Raw genomic sequence first — 19,860 nt, forward strand, 5'->3', positions numbered from 1 at the left:
CAATCAATTCAATCATATTCATAAAAGGCAAAAAAATTTTGGAGTATGAAGTCCTTTATTATATATTTAGTATCATCATTACTTGTTCAAAATTAAATCTATACAACACATCTGCCAGTGAAATAATTATGACACTGACTGCTACAGTACAGGTTCTGTTGAGTTCTTCAGAGTTGAAAGACCATGTGCTATTTGGTGACAATTTCCCCCCTACTATGCCTTATGTAAATGGCTGTAAAAGCTTTATTTGTACAGCTTGCCATGATGTAATTTGTCCTTTACTTGGGGCCAATGCAAATGCAAACTCCAGGACTTCAGTAAAGCAGTGGGACATGGGTATAAATTGGTCATACAAACAATCTTTGGTATGCTCATATATATGGGTGTAAGATTATCAAAATAAATGTAGAAAATTCAAAATTCTCTTAAAACTAAGAAGTCAATCTCCAGAAATCGTAAGAGTGATAATTCTTTCTTTTATATACACTCCTTGGCACTTTTTCATGTTCTAGTTCAATTAAGAGAAAAACAAAAAAGTTGTAAAATGCTAAGTCATTCAGGATTTCTCCAGATTCCAATATTATTTATGGCTCAAGGTAGATCCAAATAAAAATGAGAGTGTTACTGTTTTACACAGGAAATATCAACTTAGGTCATTTCCCAACAGTTACACAATCCAAAGTAAATTGAATGGATCTTAAATATTTAAAAAATATATTCATTTGAGGAAAAAAAATGAAGCTTAAGACTTAGAGGAGATCTGAATTTATTTGCTAAGTAGGTAGTGAACAATTCATTTGTTCATTAAAGTTTTCTGGAGTATTTATCCTATGACATGCACTGGAACAGTTTTACCATTGTGTAGTTACATCTACTTTGATTTCAGTTCTCTGGAAATGTTACTATAGATAATGACCAGATGGAGCCTTAAGTTATTTGTAAGCTCTATATTCTATAATTCTAATTACGCTGCATTGTTGTATTGCCTCTGTTTTATCCCTCTGATTTTCAATAAACTGTAAAGTCTTTGAATGTTATATGTATATTTATTTATATATATGCATACAATCACAACCAAAAGAAGTAAAAAACCACAAACCTCCATGAATTTTATTTTATTTTACTTAATTTTAATTCATTTTATTTTATTTTTGTAGAGATGAGGCCTCACTATATTGCCCAAGCTGGTCTCAAACTCCTGGCCTCAAGAGATCCTCCCACTTCAGCCTCCCAAAGTGCTAGGATTACAGGTGTGAGCCACCATTCCTGATCAAATTTTAGAGTAAATGATAGAATAATATTCACTCTATGAATACTCAATAAATGTTGTATTTAGTAAAGATGTATTAATGATAGAACATGAACTTTCCAATAAAAATTAATGCAGAGAAGAATGCTCATTTTTATTTTACTTATAATAAATTTAATACCGTTCCAACTTAGATTTCTTTCTAGCTAAAAGGATATCATAGTAATCCATCATAGTAGTCTTACAGATTAAAGAAAAGATTACTTGGGTAAAAATAAAAGCACCAAGATTTTTCTAAGGGATTTTTATGTACATTTTGCCTTATGTCATAATGTGGACAACCATCCCTACTTACATCAAAATTTAATTAGCAAATCATAGGTTTAATTATCATCTACTACCTGTGTTTCCACAATAATTCATTTCTGCTCAAACTATATCATGATATATCAGGCTATGATTTTGACTATTGCCAAAAAGTAAAGTTTGATATTGTATTGCATTCTACACTTTTCCCAGACAGAAATAAGAGGTAATGCATTATCAAACATGGTAAAAATCATCATGTTCTAAAGCTACAGATAAAGATGCATGTGATACAGGCATACAAGAGTAATCCCAGAATTAAGAACAAGGTAAAATAATAAAAATGTGGTAAAGTTAAAGAAAAAGAAAACTCTTATTAATATTATTTCTATCAGGTATTGCCTGCAATCAAGACCTTTTTAAACTAGCATTGGAAAGGGATGGCCACAGTTCATATCATCCTTTCCCAAACATATTTCAATCAGGCTCTTTGAGGTCTTTTGTTTCAAGGAAATTAGCTCTGATTTAATAGTTTGAGAAAAAAAACGACAACAGTATTCACTGTATCTTCAGGTTGGCTCCACACTTATGAAGCAAAGGATTGAAAAGTAAGATTTGAGTAGGATTTGACAATATTGAATGAAAACATTAAAAGCAAAAAAGAAAAAGCAAGACATTTATTCAGTTCTGACACATACTCAACTTTTAGATGATATGAATAAATTTAATCTTGGAGTCCAGATAATTGAGGTCACTTATGTAGCTTACTTTAGTTTAGCTAGATGTTGGCTTTTTGTTTTTTTGTTTTGTCCTAAAAAAAATGGTGGGAAAAAGAAAACATGGAATTGGTGTTTACAAACTTAGTTGCTGACAAAGGGCTGAACTTGAGGTATAGATTGGATCATTTAGCAGATGGCTTCTTAAAAGCAAGGTCTTGTTTTAAAATTATTTTCAAAGTATATCTTTGGCAGGAGAGGCGAGAGAGAGGATAGATCTGAGCAATAAGAAATCAATCTGTTGCATTACTCTTTTCAGCCTCCAGATGAGTTTAATTCTTTTTTTTTTTAATACTTTAAGTTTTAGGGTACATGTGCACAACGTGCAGGTTAGTTATATATGTATACATGTGACATGCTGGTGTGCTGCACCCACTAACTCGTCATCTAGCATTAGGTATATCTCCCAGTGCTATCCCTCCCCCTTCCCCCCACCCCACAACACTCCCCAGAGTGTGATGTTCCCCTTCCTGTGTCCATGTGTTGTCATTGTTCAGTTCCCACCTATGAGTGAGAATATGCGGTGTTTGGTTTTTTGTTCTTGCGATAGTTTACTGAGAATGATGATTTCCAATTTCATCCATGTCCCTACAAAGGACATGAACTCATCATTTTTTATGGCTGCATAGTATTCCATGGTATATATGTGCCACATTTTCTTAATTCAGTCTATCATTGTTGGACATTTGGGTTGGTTCCAAGTCTTTGCTATTGTGAATAGTGCCGCAATAAACATACGTGTGCATGTGTCTTTATAGCAGCATGATTTATAGTCCTTTGGGTATATACCCAGTAATGGGATGGCTGGGTCAAATGGTATTTCTAGTTCTAGATCCCTGAGGAATCGCCACACTGACTTCCACAATGGTGGAACTAGTTTACAGTCCCACCAACAGTGTAAAAATGTTCCTATTTCTCCACATCCTCTCCAGCACCTGTTGTTTCCTGACTTTTTAATGATTGCCATTCTAACTGGTGTGAGATGATATCTCATTGTGGTTTTGATTTGCATTTCTCTGATGGCCAGTGATGGTGAGCATTTTTTCATGTGTTTTTTGGCTGCATAAATGTCTTCTTTTGAGAAGTGTCTGTTCATGTCCTTCGCCCACTTTTTGATGGGGTTGTTTGTTTTTTTCTGGTCAATTTGTTTGAGTTCATTGTAGATTCTGGATATTAGCCCTTTGTCAGATGAGTAGGTTGCGAAAATTTTCTCCCATTTTGTGGGTTGCCTGTTCACTCTGATGGTAGTTTCTTTTGCTGTGCAGAAGCTCTTTAGTTTAATTAGATCCCATTTGTCAATTTTGGCTTTTGTTGCCATTGCTTTTGGTGTTTTAGACATGAAGTCCTTGCCCATGCCTATGTCCTGAATGGTATTGCCTAGGTTTTCTTCTAGGGTTTTTGTGGTTTTAGGTCTCACATTTAAGTCTTTAATCCATCTTGAATTGATTTTTGTATAAGGTGTAAGGAAGGGATCCAGTTTCAGCTTTCCACATATGGCTAGCCAGTTTTCCCAGCACCATTTATTAAATAGGGAATCCTTTCCGCATTGCTTGTTTTTCTCAGGTTTGTCAAAGATCAGATACAGGAGCACCCAGATTCATAAAGCAAGTCCTGAGTGACCTACAAAGAGACTTAGACTCCCACACATTAATAATGGGAGACTTTAACACCCCACTGTCAACATTAGACAGATCAACGAGACAGAAAGTCAACAAGGATACCCAGGAGTTGAACTCAGCTCTGCACCAAGTGGACCTAATAGACATCTATAGAACTCTCCACTCCAAATCAACAGAATATACATTTTTTTCAGCACCACACCACACCTATTCCAAAATTGACCACATAGTTGGAAGTAAAGCTCTCCTCAGCAAATGTAAAAGAACAGAAATTATAACAAACTATCTCTCAGACCACAGTGCAATCAAACTAGAACTCAGGATTAAGAAACTCACTCAAAACCGCTCAACTACATGGAAACTCAACAACCTCCTCCTGAATGACTACTGGGTACATAACGAAATGAAGGCAGAAATAAAGATGTTCTTTGAAACCAACGAGAACAAAGACACAACATATCAGAATCTCTGGGACACATTCAAAGCAGTGTGTAGAGGGAAATTTATAGCACTAAATGCCCACAAGAGAAAGCAGGAAAGATCCAAAATTGAGTTTAATTCTTAATGCTTTCTTCATTGCCACCACCTTACACTTTTCTGTTCTCTATTTGGCCTTTGAAAATTTAGGTTATTATCTTAAAATTTTCTCCCTCAGGAATTTGTCTTTCTTGACTTCATTAACTTACTAAAATTAGTTCTCAGAATTAAATGTGGCCAGTAAACTTCACAGGGCATATGCAAATTTACAGGCATATATAAAGACATTTTCACTGGTTATATGAAATTTTCAAAAATACCAGTAAGTAATTGATTCAATTAATTCCTATGAAAATAGATCTGTTATTTTCCCATTATTCCAAAGCTTTAAGTAAAGAACTTGATTTCAAAACATTTTTCAAATTTGCACACTATTTGACATAGTCAACATTATTTCCCTCCCCCTTAAGCTGACACCAAGTAAACCTATAAAAAATAATATATAGAGATAAATTATAATAGTGATTATAGAAAAAAGGGGGAATTTAGCAATTTCCAAATTAATCAAGTGTTAAATCAAACTTTATAACTCATGTCAATATCTGCTTTGTCTTTGATTGATTTGTCTTGTGTGTATATATATGCTTTGGTAAAATTAAACAGATAATCACAAACTCTGCTCTTACTTTTTCATATTGCAAAAACCACAGTCCAAATGAAGTAAATCAATAAAATAAACTATAAAATAAAGTTTGTGTATGGATTACAAGCATTCAGGACATAGATATAAGTACCAGTCAGGGTTCTGTCTCTAGAGGGACAGAACTAATAGGAGATATACATATATACACACACACACAAAGGGGAGTTTATTAAATGTTACCTCACACGATCACAAGGTCCCAAAATAGCCCATCTGCAAGATGAGAAGAAAGGAGAACCAGTCCAAGTATCAAAGCTGAAGAACTTGGAGTCCAATGTTGGAGAGCAGGAAGCATCCAGCATGGAAGAAAGATGTAGTCTGGAAGTCTAGGCCAGTCTCTCTATTCACATTTTTCTGCCTGCTTTACATTTTAGCCACACTGGCAGCTGATTAGATGGTGCCCACCCAGATTAAGGATGGGTTTGCCTTTCCCAGCCCACTGACTCAAATATTAATCTCCTTTGGCAACACCCTCACAGACACAACCATGATCAATATTTTGCATCCTTCAATCCAATCAAGTTGACACTCAGTATTAACCATCCCAAGTCCACCCCTTATCAACTTGAACCCATGCACATCTCCTGAGATCATACATAATCTTCACTAAAAACAATAATAAGGTCATAATTATGCCTAACATAAAACAACTATCCTTTGTACTACCGGAAATGCACCAATCCCCAACCCAAATACTATTATGTAATGTTAACAATACATAAATGCTCATATGAAATCAGTATGTCTTATGTCACATGATAAAGCAAAAAGGAAATAAAATGATATTTTCTTAGTACAAGTGTACAGATGCACAAACATGTTTTTAACAAAAGAAGCTGGAAATACTCATGACAATTACAGTCCTCGTTTCTGCAGCTGGTCATGTGTTTGCAGCTGGTATTGATGACTACCTTCTGCTACCACCCATTCTGTATTCCCTTTGCCTTCAGCATGCACCTCAGCAGGTCATGGCTTTTTCCTGGTGGACTGACCCAAACCTTCACTCCTGAGGGGTCTAGGCCATTTGTAGTCCTGCATGGATTGGGCTGTTGTAGTTTCCCATTGACCTTAATCACAAGGCATAGTAATATTAAGAGATGTCCTAATGGATTTCCTGTATTCCATGCATACTCTTCCTTGCCTCCATTGTGGAGTAGTAGACTGATTTCATCTTGATAGTCCAGATCAATCACCCCAGCCAACACTGTAACTCCCTTCTTAGCCTGTTGACGTAAATGTAGGTAGGAGGATCCCAAAGTGTCCCAGTGGCAATCTTAACTTCCATGTAATTGGAATTGTCATTGTTTCTCCTGGTGGCAGCATTCCTCCCTCTGAAATGAAGACCTCTAGGCCAGCAGAACGTAATGTGGCAGGAACAGGAAGCAAAAGTTTTGCTAGTGGATCACTAGGGGTGATGGTGAGTGGTGCCACTTCCACTTCTACCCCTTGATTCCTGGACCTGTGAATCCTGGCTGTGGAAGAAACAGTACCATATATTGGACACCAATTCAGAACATACAGAGCATTCTGGAGAACTTTGCCCCAGCCCTGCAAAGTATTGTCACCTAGTCAGCATTGTAATTGTGAATTCAAAAGGACATTCCGCCATTCTATCAATCCAGCTGCTTCAGGATGATGGAGAACATGGTAAGACCAGTGAATTTCATGAGCATGAGCCCACTGCTGCACTTCTTTAGCCATAAAGTGAGTGCCTTGGTCAGAGGAAATGCTGTATGGAATACCATGACGGTGGATAAGGCATTCCGTGAGTCCACGGATGGTAGTCTTGGCAGAAACATTGCATGCAGGATAGGCAAACCCATATCTGGGATAAGTGTCTATTCCAGTGAGGAAAAGCCTCTGCCCTATCCATTATGGAAGAGGTCCAATATAATCAAACTGTCAGCAGGTAGCTGGCTGACCACCCCGAGGAATGGTGCCATATCAAAGGCTCAGTGTTGGTCTCTGCTGCTGGAAAATTGGGCACTCAGCAGTGGCCATAGCCAGGTCAGCCTTGCTGAGTGGAAGTCCCTGTTGCTGAACCCATGCATAACCTCTATCCAAGCCACCATGGCCACTTTGTTCAAGGGCCCATTGGGTGATGACAGGGGTGTCTGGGGAAAGAGGCTGAGTGATGTCCACAGAACGGATCACCCTATCCACTTGATAATTAAAATCGTCCTCTGCTGAGGTCACCATTGGTGAGCAATCACATGGGATACAAATATCATTACAGTTTTTGACCACTCAGAGAGGTCCATCTACATATCTCTTCCCCAAATTTCTTTGTCACCAATTTTCCAATCATGCTTCTTCCAAATCCCTGACTATACAGCCAAACCTTTGGCTATAGCCCATGAATCAGTATATGAACACACACCTGGCCATTTCTCCTTACATGCAAAGTGCACAACCAGGTGCACGGCTTGAAGTTCTGCCTATTGGGAAGATTTCCCTTCACTGCTGTCCTTCAGGGATGTTGTAGAAAGGGGCTGTAAAGTTGCAGCTCTCCACTTTCGGGTGGTGCCTGCATATCTGTCGGAACCATCTGTGAACTAGGCCCTATTCTTCTCTTCCTCTGTCAACTGATCATTGGGAACTCCCAATGGGGCCATCAGTGCAGGCTGTGGGGGAGAAGGCAGGGTGGCAGGAGTGGAGACCATGGGCATTTGAGACACTTTCTCATGTAACTTACTTGTGCCTTCAGGACCTGCTCAAGCCCGGTCACATATATACCGCTTCCATTTGATGATGGAATGCTGCTGTGCATGACCCACTTTATGGCTAGATGGGTCAGAAAGCACCCAGTTCATGATAGGCAGTTCAGGTCACATGGTTACTTGATGACCCACAGTCAAACATTCAGTTTCCACGAAAGCCCAGTAACAGGCCAAGAGCTGTCTCTCAAAAGGAGAGTAGTTATCTGCAGAAGATGGCATGGCCTTGGCTCCGTAACACTAGAGGCCTCTGCTGTGATTCACCTATGGGGGCCTGTCAAAGGCTCCAAATAGCATCCCTATCTGCCACTGATACCTCAAGAACCATTGGATCTGCTGGGTCTTGTGGCCCAAGTGGCAGAGCAGCTTGCACTGCAGCCTGGACCTGTTGCAGAGCCTTCTACTGTTCTTGACCCCACCCAAAACTGGCAGCCTTTTGGGTCACTCAATAAATGGGCCAGAGTAACACACCCAAATGAGGAATGTGTTGTCTCCAAAATCCAAATAAGCCCACTAGGCATTGTGCTTGTTTCTTGGTTGTAGGAGGGGCCAAATGCAGCAACTTATCCTTCACCTTAAAAGGAATATCTCGACAGGCCCCATATCACTGGACCCTTAGAAATTTTATTGAAGTAAAATATTTTACTAAAATTCCCTGAATTTTAGTCAGATTTATTTCCCATCCTCTGGTATGCAAATGTCTCACCAATAAGTTCAGTGTGTTTGCTACTTCTTGCTCACTGGATCCAATCAGCATAATGTCATCAATATAATGGACCAGTGTGATATTCTTACAGAAGTGAAAAGCAATCAAGATCTCTCCAAATAAGATTATGACACAAAGCTGGATAATTGACATACTCCTGAGGTAGGACAGTAAAAGTATGTTGTTGGCCTTGCCAGCTAAAGGCAAATTGCTTCTGGTGGGCCTTATGAACAGGAATGGAGAAAAAGGCAATTGCCGAGTCAATGGCTTCATACCAGGTACGAGGAGACGTGTTAATTTGCTCAAGCAATGAAACCACATCTGGTACAGCAGCTGCAATTGGAGTCACCACTTGGTTAAGCTTACGAAAATCCACTGTCATTATCCAAGAAACATGTCTTCTCTACAGGCCACACGGAGAGTTGAAGGGGATGTGGTGGAATCATCACCCCTGTGTCTTTCGAGTCCTTTATGGTGGCACTAATATCTGCAGTCCCTCCAGAGATGTGATATTGTTTTTGATTTACTATTTTTCTAGGTATAGGCAGCTCTAATTGCTTCCGTTTGGCCTTTCCCATCATAATAGCCTGCACCCTACCAGTCAGGGAGCCAATGTGGGTGTTCTGCCAGCTGCTAAAAATGTCTGTGCCAATTATGCATTCTGGCACTGGGGAAATGACCACGAGATGAGTTCGAGGACTCACTGGACAAACGGTAAATCAGACCTGAGCTAAAACTCCATTAAATACCTGACCTCCTTAATCCCCTACTTTAACTGGAGGAGCACAATGATGTTTTGGGTCCCCTGTAATCAACGTCAGCTCAGAGCCAGTGTCTAGTAGTCCCTGAGGTATCTGATCATTTCCCTTTCTCCAATGCACAGTTACCCTAGTAAAAGGCTAAATGTCTCCTTGAGGAATGATGGGAGAAAGATTTTTTGCATACATTGTCAGTTCCTCAAGAGGAACCAGGCTCCCCTTCATTCAAGGGGTTCTGGGTCTGTAAACTGACTCAAGTCTGAAAATTGATTGAGGGGCTCTGATTCTCTGTTTTCCTAATTCAAATTAGTCTTTTGTCCATTTGACCTAGAAGTTTTCTGCTTATATAAATTAAGTAGAAATGCAGCAGGCTTCCTATGAATTTCATTTCTAGAAACACCGTGATTCATTAGCCAATGCTAGAGCTTTACACGAGTCAGACTATTCTGATTGCTGCTTTGTCTCTGCTGTCTGTTATGACAGCTATGACCATCTTGCGTTTGACAGTTGAGTGCTGCCACTTGGCTCCTGCCACCTCAGGACCCAACTTTTCCCGTTATATTTAAAATTTGTAGTTGAGTGACTGCAGTTCCCAGTTTTAGATCTGACATACAGACTACAGCAATTACAGGGCTCTTCAGAGATGCAGGTGCTGCTCTCAAAAATCTATTTCACAAGGCATTTGTCAAGGATATATCTTCTGGACCTTCCCAGCTGGGATGAGTAGGTCTAAAGTGACTAATCCACTCTGCCATCTTAATCTCCCTAAGCCTTTGGATCCCTTCCTCTACATTAAACCAAAGGAGATCAGGCATTTCCAGCTCACTCACAGTGGGCCATCTTTTAATCTGTATTTCAGCTAAACAAGGAAATAAACTATTAGAACCTTTTTTAATTCCCTGAGGTGCAACATTAAATGCAGAGTCCCTACTTAGTGGGCCCAAATCAATAAATTCAGCCTGATCCAACTCTAGATTCCTTCCACCATTATTCCACACCCTTAATATCCATTCCTATGCCTATTCTCCAGATTTCTGTTTATGTAAATTAGAAAATTCAAGCAGTCTTTTTAAAGTGTAGCATACCTCCTCATGGGTCACCCTCTCAATCTCACCTCTAGGGGTCCACCAGGACTTTAGTTATAGGTCTAGGTGCAAACAGGGGTGTTGGGGGTGGCTCCTGAAGAGAATTAACATTATTTTGCCTGGTAACTGCCTCAGGGGAGGCCATCACTGTTGCCTCAGGAACTTCAGAGTTCAACTCCTCAGACAAAGGTGGAAAGGCTGATGGCAGCATGAGTGGGGAGAGGATGTTGCCACTACTGGGGATGGGGAAGGTATTCTGGCAAAAAAGGTTGATCAGCATTGACAAACTCAGCATCCCTCGCTTCATCAGGGTCCTCCCACATGTCCCCATTCCAAGTTGCAGGGTCCCATTATTTTCCAGTTAATGCCCTCACTTTAACAGTAGACATCTGGTGACACTGTGCATGCCTCTTTTGTTGCAGGTCAGCCACTTTCATGATAAAAGCTTCTGTCTGTTTTTCCACAATTTCAGCTCTTTCTCTACAGGAGATAATACTCTCACTCAGGGCAATCTTAGCAGATTTGAGGCTCAGTATCTGCTTCTGAAGCTGGGAGTTAGAATCCTTGAGTTCATCATTTTCTTTCATCACTTTGTCCACTGAAATTTGGAGCAACCAACCAGCTTCATTATGTTCGTTGGTTCTCCACATATGGTTAAAGGTTTTATGTACAGGGTCACTAAACTCCTTGCCTCTCATGAGCAGTGATTCAGGAGTGTCAAATGCATTTATTTTGCATATCTCTCTAAACAATTTATGCCAAGGACTATCAGTGTTCTCCATACTATTAGAAGTAGAGTCCTTTTTTTGAGCATTCTTGGGTCTAATCATATTAAGCAGCCAACTCCAGAAACTCCCAAACCAATGAAAGAACTCCACCCTTAATATTCTGCTCCTCTAGAACCACTCCTGGTGCCAAAATCTGTATTAGTCAGGGTTCTTTAGAGGGACATAACTAATAGGATAGAAATATATATTATCTATATATCTATATATCTTTTCCTCTCTATATATTTCTATATATATCTATATATCCTCCTATACATAATATATACAAAGATGTAGGCTGGGAAGCTAGCCCGGTCTAGTCTTTTTACATTTTTCTGCCTGCTTTATATTCTAGCCACACTGGTTGCTGATTAGATGGTTCCCACCCAGATTAAGGGTGGGTCTGCCTTTCCCAGTCCCCTGACTCAAATGTTAATCTCCTTTGGCAACACCCTCACAGACACATCCAGGATCAATGCTTTGCATCCTTCAATCCAATCAGGTTGACACTCAGTGTTAACCATCACAATATATTACTGACAAACTTAAATGTATACCTACCACTACTTCAAAAGCAACAAGTTCTGTCCTCAACAGCCAATCATATTTTTAACAATTAGGTAGACTGACTTAAGCTATTACAAATACAAATATAGTTGATCTTATTCTTTTTTATCTAAAACAATTCACTTCACTGTTAGCAAGAATATTTAAATAAGCTAATTGCCTTTTTTAAGCGGTAATTAATTTTGCATATACAATATCCAAATCACATTAGTTTTATACAGAACACTGCTTTCAAGAGATCAAAGGATTTTTCTAATGTAATTTTTAGCAATGTTTGCAAAACCCACTAAATTTTATAGTAACTAATCCTATTCTAGTTTGAAGGATAGAAAATACCAGTTAAGCATAACTTAATTGCCTCTCCTTTTGTTTGGTTAACTCTTTAACACTGTGGATTACCCAGACTAAACATGAGGCCTAGGGTATTTGTTGAGAAAAATACAATAATATAAACACAATCTAACTTTTTTTTGATGGTTCTTGAACTCAGCCCCTCCTGTACCTTTATGCATCAAGGGTGTAGATGGGCACCAGCCTCTGCCTCATCTCAGGTCTTGGGACAAGGTCTGGGGGTAAGAGAAGCTGAAAGGAGATGAGCCTTGGAGGAACAAACCAAATCTCAGTCGAAAAAAAATCTTTAGCTTTTTAATTTTAAAATATATCCTCAATTCCTCTTAGAATGATAATCTTTTTTTCCTCTTATCATTGAAATTAATTATAAAAAAGGTAACTTTTTGGGGAACAGTTGTATGAAAATCATCAATAACACAAATTTTAATCATCAGAAGTTGAACAACTAAAGAAAATGAGAAACATGTCTCTTCTGAAATTGAGGTCAAAAAACTGACTAGTTCATTAATTTGATCATTTTAACTTTAAAATATTTAAAATATTGTAAACTTTTAAAATGTAAAGTGGGTGTTCAAAATCTTAATTCATAAGGATGTTGTAGAAATGAAAAGCAATTATATGAGAAAATGTTGGCAGAATGGCTGGCACCTGGTCAGCACTAGGTAAATTGTTGAATGTTATTACTAATGAAACACATATTTGCTGGACAATTTCACAATTTACCTTGGTGAAAGGTGTTGGGAATTGCTGTGCAAATGGAACTTCTTTTTAACATATAACAGGTTTAAAATCATGGAAGGAGGTATCTTTAAAGTCAGATTTATTTGCCATTTAATAAAAGTAAAAATGTAAATATCACCACAGTTGTGGTGGCCAACAAGAGGAAAACAAAGATAGAGAGAGAGAGAGAAAGAGAAACAGAGAGTAAGAGAGAGCAAGTGGCCAAACAGGTGTGGAGGCTCCTGCCAATATGCTGTATTCCAGGCTGGAGGCCACTTGGAATCTTGAACCCAACATGTTATTTTACAAAGAGTTTTTAAAATATGCACAACCAGTAGATTTCCCAAGCACTTCCATTTTCAGCACAATCCACTTACAAAAACCTGGAGAGAAAAGAGTTAGGTATAGTCTTTTAGTAAAACTAAAAATAGCAACTAATAAAATATTAACAAGAACAAATCTATGTGAAATGCAAACAGCAATCTTTCAGTAACACAGGCAGCTTTCCATGGTAAAAGAAGGTGAACAGAAAACAAAAATTCATGGAAATCAACAGTACTATAGGTACTCCTGAGCATCTCTATACCAACATTTTTTTGAATTAAAAGAATTTTTCCTTTTACAAAGTATGAATTCATGATGTATTGAGTTTATTATTTTTGCCATTTTTGCAAAAATTAAAAGACAAATGTCTTATGAAGACATTTCTAACTTTTAAAGACAATTAAGTATTAGAATTTGAGTGTTTTTTAAAGTTTGTCTTCCTTAAGGTAGATGGAGAAATGATACATTGAGTTAAAGTTAATCTCTCTTTGTGCCTCTTATAAACTCGGCCTTTTATCTACATTGTCTCTAATCTCCTAATAACATAAATTAATTATTCTATCTACATTTTATAGATGAGCAACCTGAGGTTCAGCGAGATTAAGAAGTTTGCTTCTGCTTATTTTAACAAATCAAATACGTAGTATTACAACATAATGTTTGTGGCATTAAAATATATATTAATTCCAATGTGTATTGTTGTTTTTACTATGGAAATGTAAGTTATTTTATTTGCTTTAACCATCATTAGTCAACATAAAAACAGATTCAAATATTAATATCTGATGGTGATATTTTTCTAGATAATTGTAAAAGAAAGATAAAGTTAGTTTCCTGATTTGTTCCATTGAATGTTTATTACTTTATACAAATGTTATTATATCTCAGTTATATAATAATATACTCATCATAGATTACACAGTGACCAAAAAGGAAAAAGAATGACCCTAAATCCATTAGCCTGTCATGATGTCTATTTTCCATATTGAAAACAGTTTTTATAATAATTTGGAATCTGATCTTTAAAACTGAACAATATGTTATGTACCTTTTCTCTGTCAGTTTGTGCTCCAAATAAGTAGTTTTACATTTTAGAAGAATCCTTTGTACAAACAAGTATGAAGGGGACCTTGAATAGGTACAACAATAGAGCTAGGCCTGTTCTGGTTGAAGCAGGGGAAAGCAGAGGTGTGCCTACCAGGGTAGCTTCTCACCCTCACTCCCCAACAGCCCCTTGAAACTCCTCTGTGGAATTGGGCTTCCATGGAGAATGCTTTAAAAATCCTTCTTCTGCATCATTTCCTCTAATGATGCACTATGATTCCATTTGACTGGATATACACTAAATTATTTTAACAAAACCAATCACTGTTTTGGGGTGGGGTTTGAATAATAAAAATCACAACAAAAATCATTACTGAACAGAAAAATAATAACTGCTTAATAACCACTTTCAAAAGAAAACCTAAATTAATGATTAAAGCATCCCTATAAACAACCATTATTACTACTCCCATATCTCAAATGAAGAGACTGTAGCATAGGAAGGTATATTAACATGTTTAACATTACAAGTCTGGTAAGTAAAGGAGTCAGAATCAGGAATTAATACTATAAATAAAATATCAATAATTTTTTTGTAGCTAAGACCTATTTAGATATAATTTATTATATCTTAAGCAAATATCTAGAAATACAAGCCATTCTTAATATATGAGAATATTGATTTCCTATATCCAATCTTAATGGATATTTATATAATAACACAATATGTTATCATTACCATAAAATATTTTCCAGCTTGATTGGTGAAGATGACATATTATTATTTTATGAAATAATAAATATGAATTGAACATAATACAAGAAAAATATTAAGTGAAAACACACAGTGTAAAGGAAGCATATTAAGTTCCACAATATATTATATCATGTAATCTTTATAACTGTCAAATCTAGAACTCACACTCATAAGTGTTCATCTATGAATCCCATGCCCTGAACCATTAATGTTTTATGAATTTTTTGATGAGTAACATTGCACATTTTACTATGTTTATTATCTAATTACATTTTAATTTTATGATTTGCTAATTTGTCCTAGATCATTTTTTATTTGAATTTTTGAATTCTTATTGATTGCCAATACTGCTCATGTATGAAAATTAAGTTGTGGAATATATAACAAGTGTAGTTTTTACTTTTCCTTTTGCATTTCCAAAAAATAATGTTTTTTTTTTGGCATAACCATTTTAGATTTTCACCTTGTCAAACCTAGCTCTCCCTATATTCTGTAATAGTGCACGTAGTTGTTATGGTAAAATTATACAAATACGTCTCATGATTTCATTTGACTAGATTTATGATTTAGCTTTTTAAATTAAATCATTTATATGAAATTTATTTTGATATGTAGTGTGTAGTAATGGCTTAGTTTAAAAAATGATTTCCTGCTTGTATACATTGTACTGGGTATATTATCCTTTTGTTTTTGTTCCATTTTCAGTTTTGTCTATTCTAGCACCAGTAATGTTTTATTTACTGTATTTTAAGACTACAATCTATTATCTACTAAGGAAAACTGTACTTAGTAATTGTTTCAAAATGTTCTTGTCAATGCTTTTCTATGTCATAATTCCAGATGAAGTTTAGAATCAATTTGTTAAATTATAAAAATTTTTCATTAGCATTTTGATTAAAAATTTTATTTTATTCTATTTACTTATTATTATACTTTAAGTTCTCAGATACATGTGCAGAATGTGCAGGTTTGTTACATAGGTATACATGTGCCATGGTGTTTTGCTGCACCCATCCACCTGTAATCTACGTTAGGTATTTCTCCTAATGCTATCCTTCCCCTTGCCCCCCACCCTTCAACAGGCCCTGGTGTGTGATGTTCTCCTCCCTGTGCCCATGTGTTCTCATTGTTCAACTCCCACTTATGAGTGACAACATGTGGTGTTTGGTTTTCTGTTCCTGTGTTAGTTTGCTAATAATTGTGGTTTCCAGCTTCATTCATGTCCCTGCAAAGGACACAAGCTCATTCTTTCTTATGGTTGCATAGTATTCCATGGTGTATATGTGCCACATTTTCTTTATTGAGTCTAACATTGATGGGCATTTGGGTTGATTCCAAGGGTTTGCTATTGTGAATAGTGCCGCAATAAACATACGTGTACATGTGTCTTTATACTAGAATGATTTATAATCCTTTGGGTATATACCCAGTAATGGGATTGCTGGGTCAAATGGTATTTCTGGTTCTAGATCCTTGAGGAATCGCCACACTGTCTTCCACAGTGGTTGAACTAATTTATACTCCCACGAACAGTGTAAAAGTGTTCCTATTTCTCCACCTTATCTCCAGCATCTGTTGTTTCCTGACTTTTTAATGATTGCCATTCTAACTGGCATGAGATGGTATCCCATTGTGGTTTTGATTTGCATTTCTCTAATGACCAGTGAGGATGAGTTTTTTTTTTTTTTTCATGTTTGTTGGCCACATAAATGTCTTGTTTTGAGAAGTGTCTGTTCATATCCTTTGCCCACTTTCTGATGGGGTTGTTTTTTTTCTTGTAAATTTGTTTAAGTTTCTTGTAGATTCTGAATATTAGCCCTTTGTCAGATGGATAGATGGCGAAAATTTTCTCCCATTCTGTAGGTGGTCTGTTCATGTTGATGATAGTTTCTTATGCTGTGCAGAAGCTCTTTAGTTTACTTACATACCATTTGTCCATTTTGGCTTTTGTTGCAATTGCTTTTGGTGTTTTAGTCATGATATCTTTCCCCGTGCCTATGTCCTGAATGGTATTGCCTAGGTATTCTTTTAGGGTTTTTATGGTTTTAGGTCTTACATTTAAATCACTAATCCAGCTTCAGTTAATTTTTGTATAAGGTGTAAGGAAGGGGTCCAGTTTCAGTTTTCTGCATATGGCCAGCCAGTTTTCCCAACACCATTTATTAAATAGGGAATCCTTTACCCACTGATTCCCTTTGTCAGTTTTGTCAAAGATCAGATGGTTGTAGATGTGTGGTGTTATTTCTGAGGCTTCTTTTCTGTTCCATTGGTCTATATATCTGTTTTGGTACCAGTACCATGCTGTTTTAATTACTATAATCTTGTAGTATAGTTTGAAGTCAGGTAACATGATGCCTCCAGCTGTGTTCTTTTTGCTTAGGATTGTCTTGGCTATACAGGCTCTTTTTTGGTTCCATATGAAATTTAAAGTAGTTTTTCTAATTCTATGAAGAAGGTCAATGGTAGCTTGATGGGAATAACATTGGATCTATAAATTACTTTGGGCAGTATGGCCATTTTCACAATAGTGATTATTCCTATCCAACAGCATGGAATGTTTTTCCGTTTGTTTGTGTCCTCTCTTATTTCCTTGAGTAGTAGTTTTTAGTTCTCCTAAATTTTAAAATAATATTTTAATCTTGGAAGAGTGACAGCTTTATGTAAGGGTTCACTTTGATGAATACTATCCACAAGGGACACATTCTAAGACCCTCAGAAGATGCCTGAAACTGAACCCTGTATACACTATGTTTTTTCCTGTACATATATATCCACAATAAAGTTTAACTTATTAATTAGGTACAGTAGGATATTAGAAGCAATAACTAGTAATGCTATAGAATGACTAAAACAGTATCCTGTGTAAAATTTCATGGATAGAAGATTTGTTCTTACTGCTAATTTTAGCAACATCAGCATATGATTTTTTTCCTTATTGAGAACTTTTACCTTTTCATTTAAATGAAGTACTTGATGGCTTCTTTTTGACATATTTGAATTGCCAGAATCACTACTTTTGCACTTCAGGGTCCTTAATGAAGTAAAATAAGAGTTACTTAAACACAAACACTTCAATACCTGGGACAGTTGATCTGATAAGTGAGACAGCTACTGAGTGGCTCATGAGGAGGCAGTGTCTACAGGTGAATCCACTGGACAAAGGGATGTGTCACAATTCAAGGTGGGATGGAGCAGGTGGCACAAAATGTCATCACACTTCTCAGTACCATGTGCAATTTAAAACTTATTAATTGCTGGCCGTGTGCCATGGCTCACGCCTGTAATCCCAGTACTTTGTGAGGCCGAGGCAGGCGGATCACAAGGTCAGGAGATTGAGACCATCCTGGCTAACACGGTAAAACCCTGTCTTACTAAAAATACAAAAAAATTATCAGGGCGTGCTGGTGGGCACATGTAGTCCCAGCTTCTTGGGAGGCTGAGGCAGGAGAATGGCGTGTACCTGGGAGGCAGAGCTTGCAGCGAGCTGAGATGGCGCCACTGCACTCCAGCCTGGGCAACAGAGTGAGACTCCACATCAGAAAAAAAAAAAAACTTATTAATTGCTTATTTCTGGAATTTTCCATTTAATATTTTTGTCATCAAAATACCTGGGGTTTGGTATAGGTCCTGCCGTTTGCCGCATAGAAAGTCAATGACTGAGATGATGAGTCTGCCGAGGAAAAAGGCTTTATTCAGGTGTTGCAGCTGAGGAGATGGGAGATCAGTCTCAAGTCCATCCCCCTGACCAACTAAAATTAGGGATTTATATAGCAGGGGAGAAATAGAACTATGTATGGGAAAACAGGAATTCAGGAAGGGTAAGGAAGCAGTCCTGATGAATGAGGGGCCTGGCATCTCATTGGATGGGATAATCTGGGAAGTTTTGGTTCTTTAACACTTTTTGAGAGGCCTAGGGGTCCTTTACTGAGGAAGGAGCTCAGATAAAACAAATGGGAGTTTTAAGCTTTCAGACGAGAGTGGTCAATTTCTCTGTTTATTAAAAACAAACTGTGTATGTATGGGAGTATTGGGTCAGTTTCATTTTTAGGCTATAGTTGATTATAGGTAACTGAGGAGAGACTACAGGCATACCGAAGAGATAGTACAGGTTTGGATCCAGACCACCACAATAAAGCAGATATCACAATAAAGCAGGTTATACAAATTTGTTGGTTTCCCAGTGCATATAAAAGCTATAAGTGCATCATACTGTAGTCTATTCTATGCAATAGCATTATGTATAAAAAATACATGCTTTGGGGCATGTGACTTAAGCCTGTAATCCCAGCACTTTGGGAGGCTGAGGCAGGTGGATCACCTGAGGTCAGGAGTTCAAGACCAGCCTGACCAACGTGGTGAAAACCCGTCACTACAAAAATACAAAAATAAAATAAAATTAGCTGGACATGATGACAGGAACCTGTAATCCCAGCTACTCTGGAAGCTGAGACAGAAGAATCACTTGAACCCAAGAGGCAGGGGTTGCAGTGAACTGAGATCGTGCCATTGCACTCCAGCCTGGGCAACAGAGTGAGACTGTGTCTCAAAAAATAAATAAATAAATAAATAAATAAATAAATAAATAAATAAATAAATAAAATAAAATAAAATACATGCCTTATTTTAAAAATACTTGATTGCATTAAAACACTAACAATTATCTAAGCCTTCAGTAACTCCTATCTTTTTTCTGGTGGAGGTGTGCCTCAATGTTTATGGCTGCCAGCTGATCAGGCTGGTAGTTGCTAAAGGTTGAGGTGGCTGTGAAAATTTCTTAAAACAAGATAACAGTGAAATTTGCCCCATTGATTGACTCTTCTTTTTAAAACAATATTTCTCTGTAGCATGTGATGATCTTTGATAGCATTTGCCTACATTTAGAACATCTTCAAAAATTAGAATCAATTCTCTTAAACTCTGCTGCTTTATCAACT

The 19,860-nt window shown here is 37.2% G+C and overlaps 1 long non-coding RNA gene across 5 annotated transcripts in view; it reads left to right on the forward strand.

The window, feature by feature from the left end:
- Nucleotides 1–19,860, forward strand: part of LOC105378027 (uncharacterized) — a 246,946-nt gene that overhangs the window by 146,207 nt on the left and 80,879 nt on the right. The window lies entirely within an intron of this gene.

Source organism: Homo sapiens, chromosome 6, assembly GCF_000001405.40.
Source record: "Homo sapiens chromosome 6, GRCh38.p14 Primary Assembly".
Classification (NCBI taxonomy): domain Eukaryota; kingdom Metazoa; phylum Chordata; class Mammalia; order Primates; family Hominidae; genus Homo; species Homo sapiens.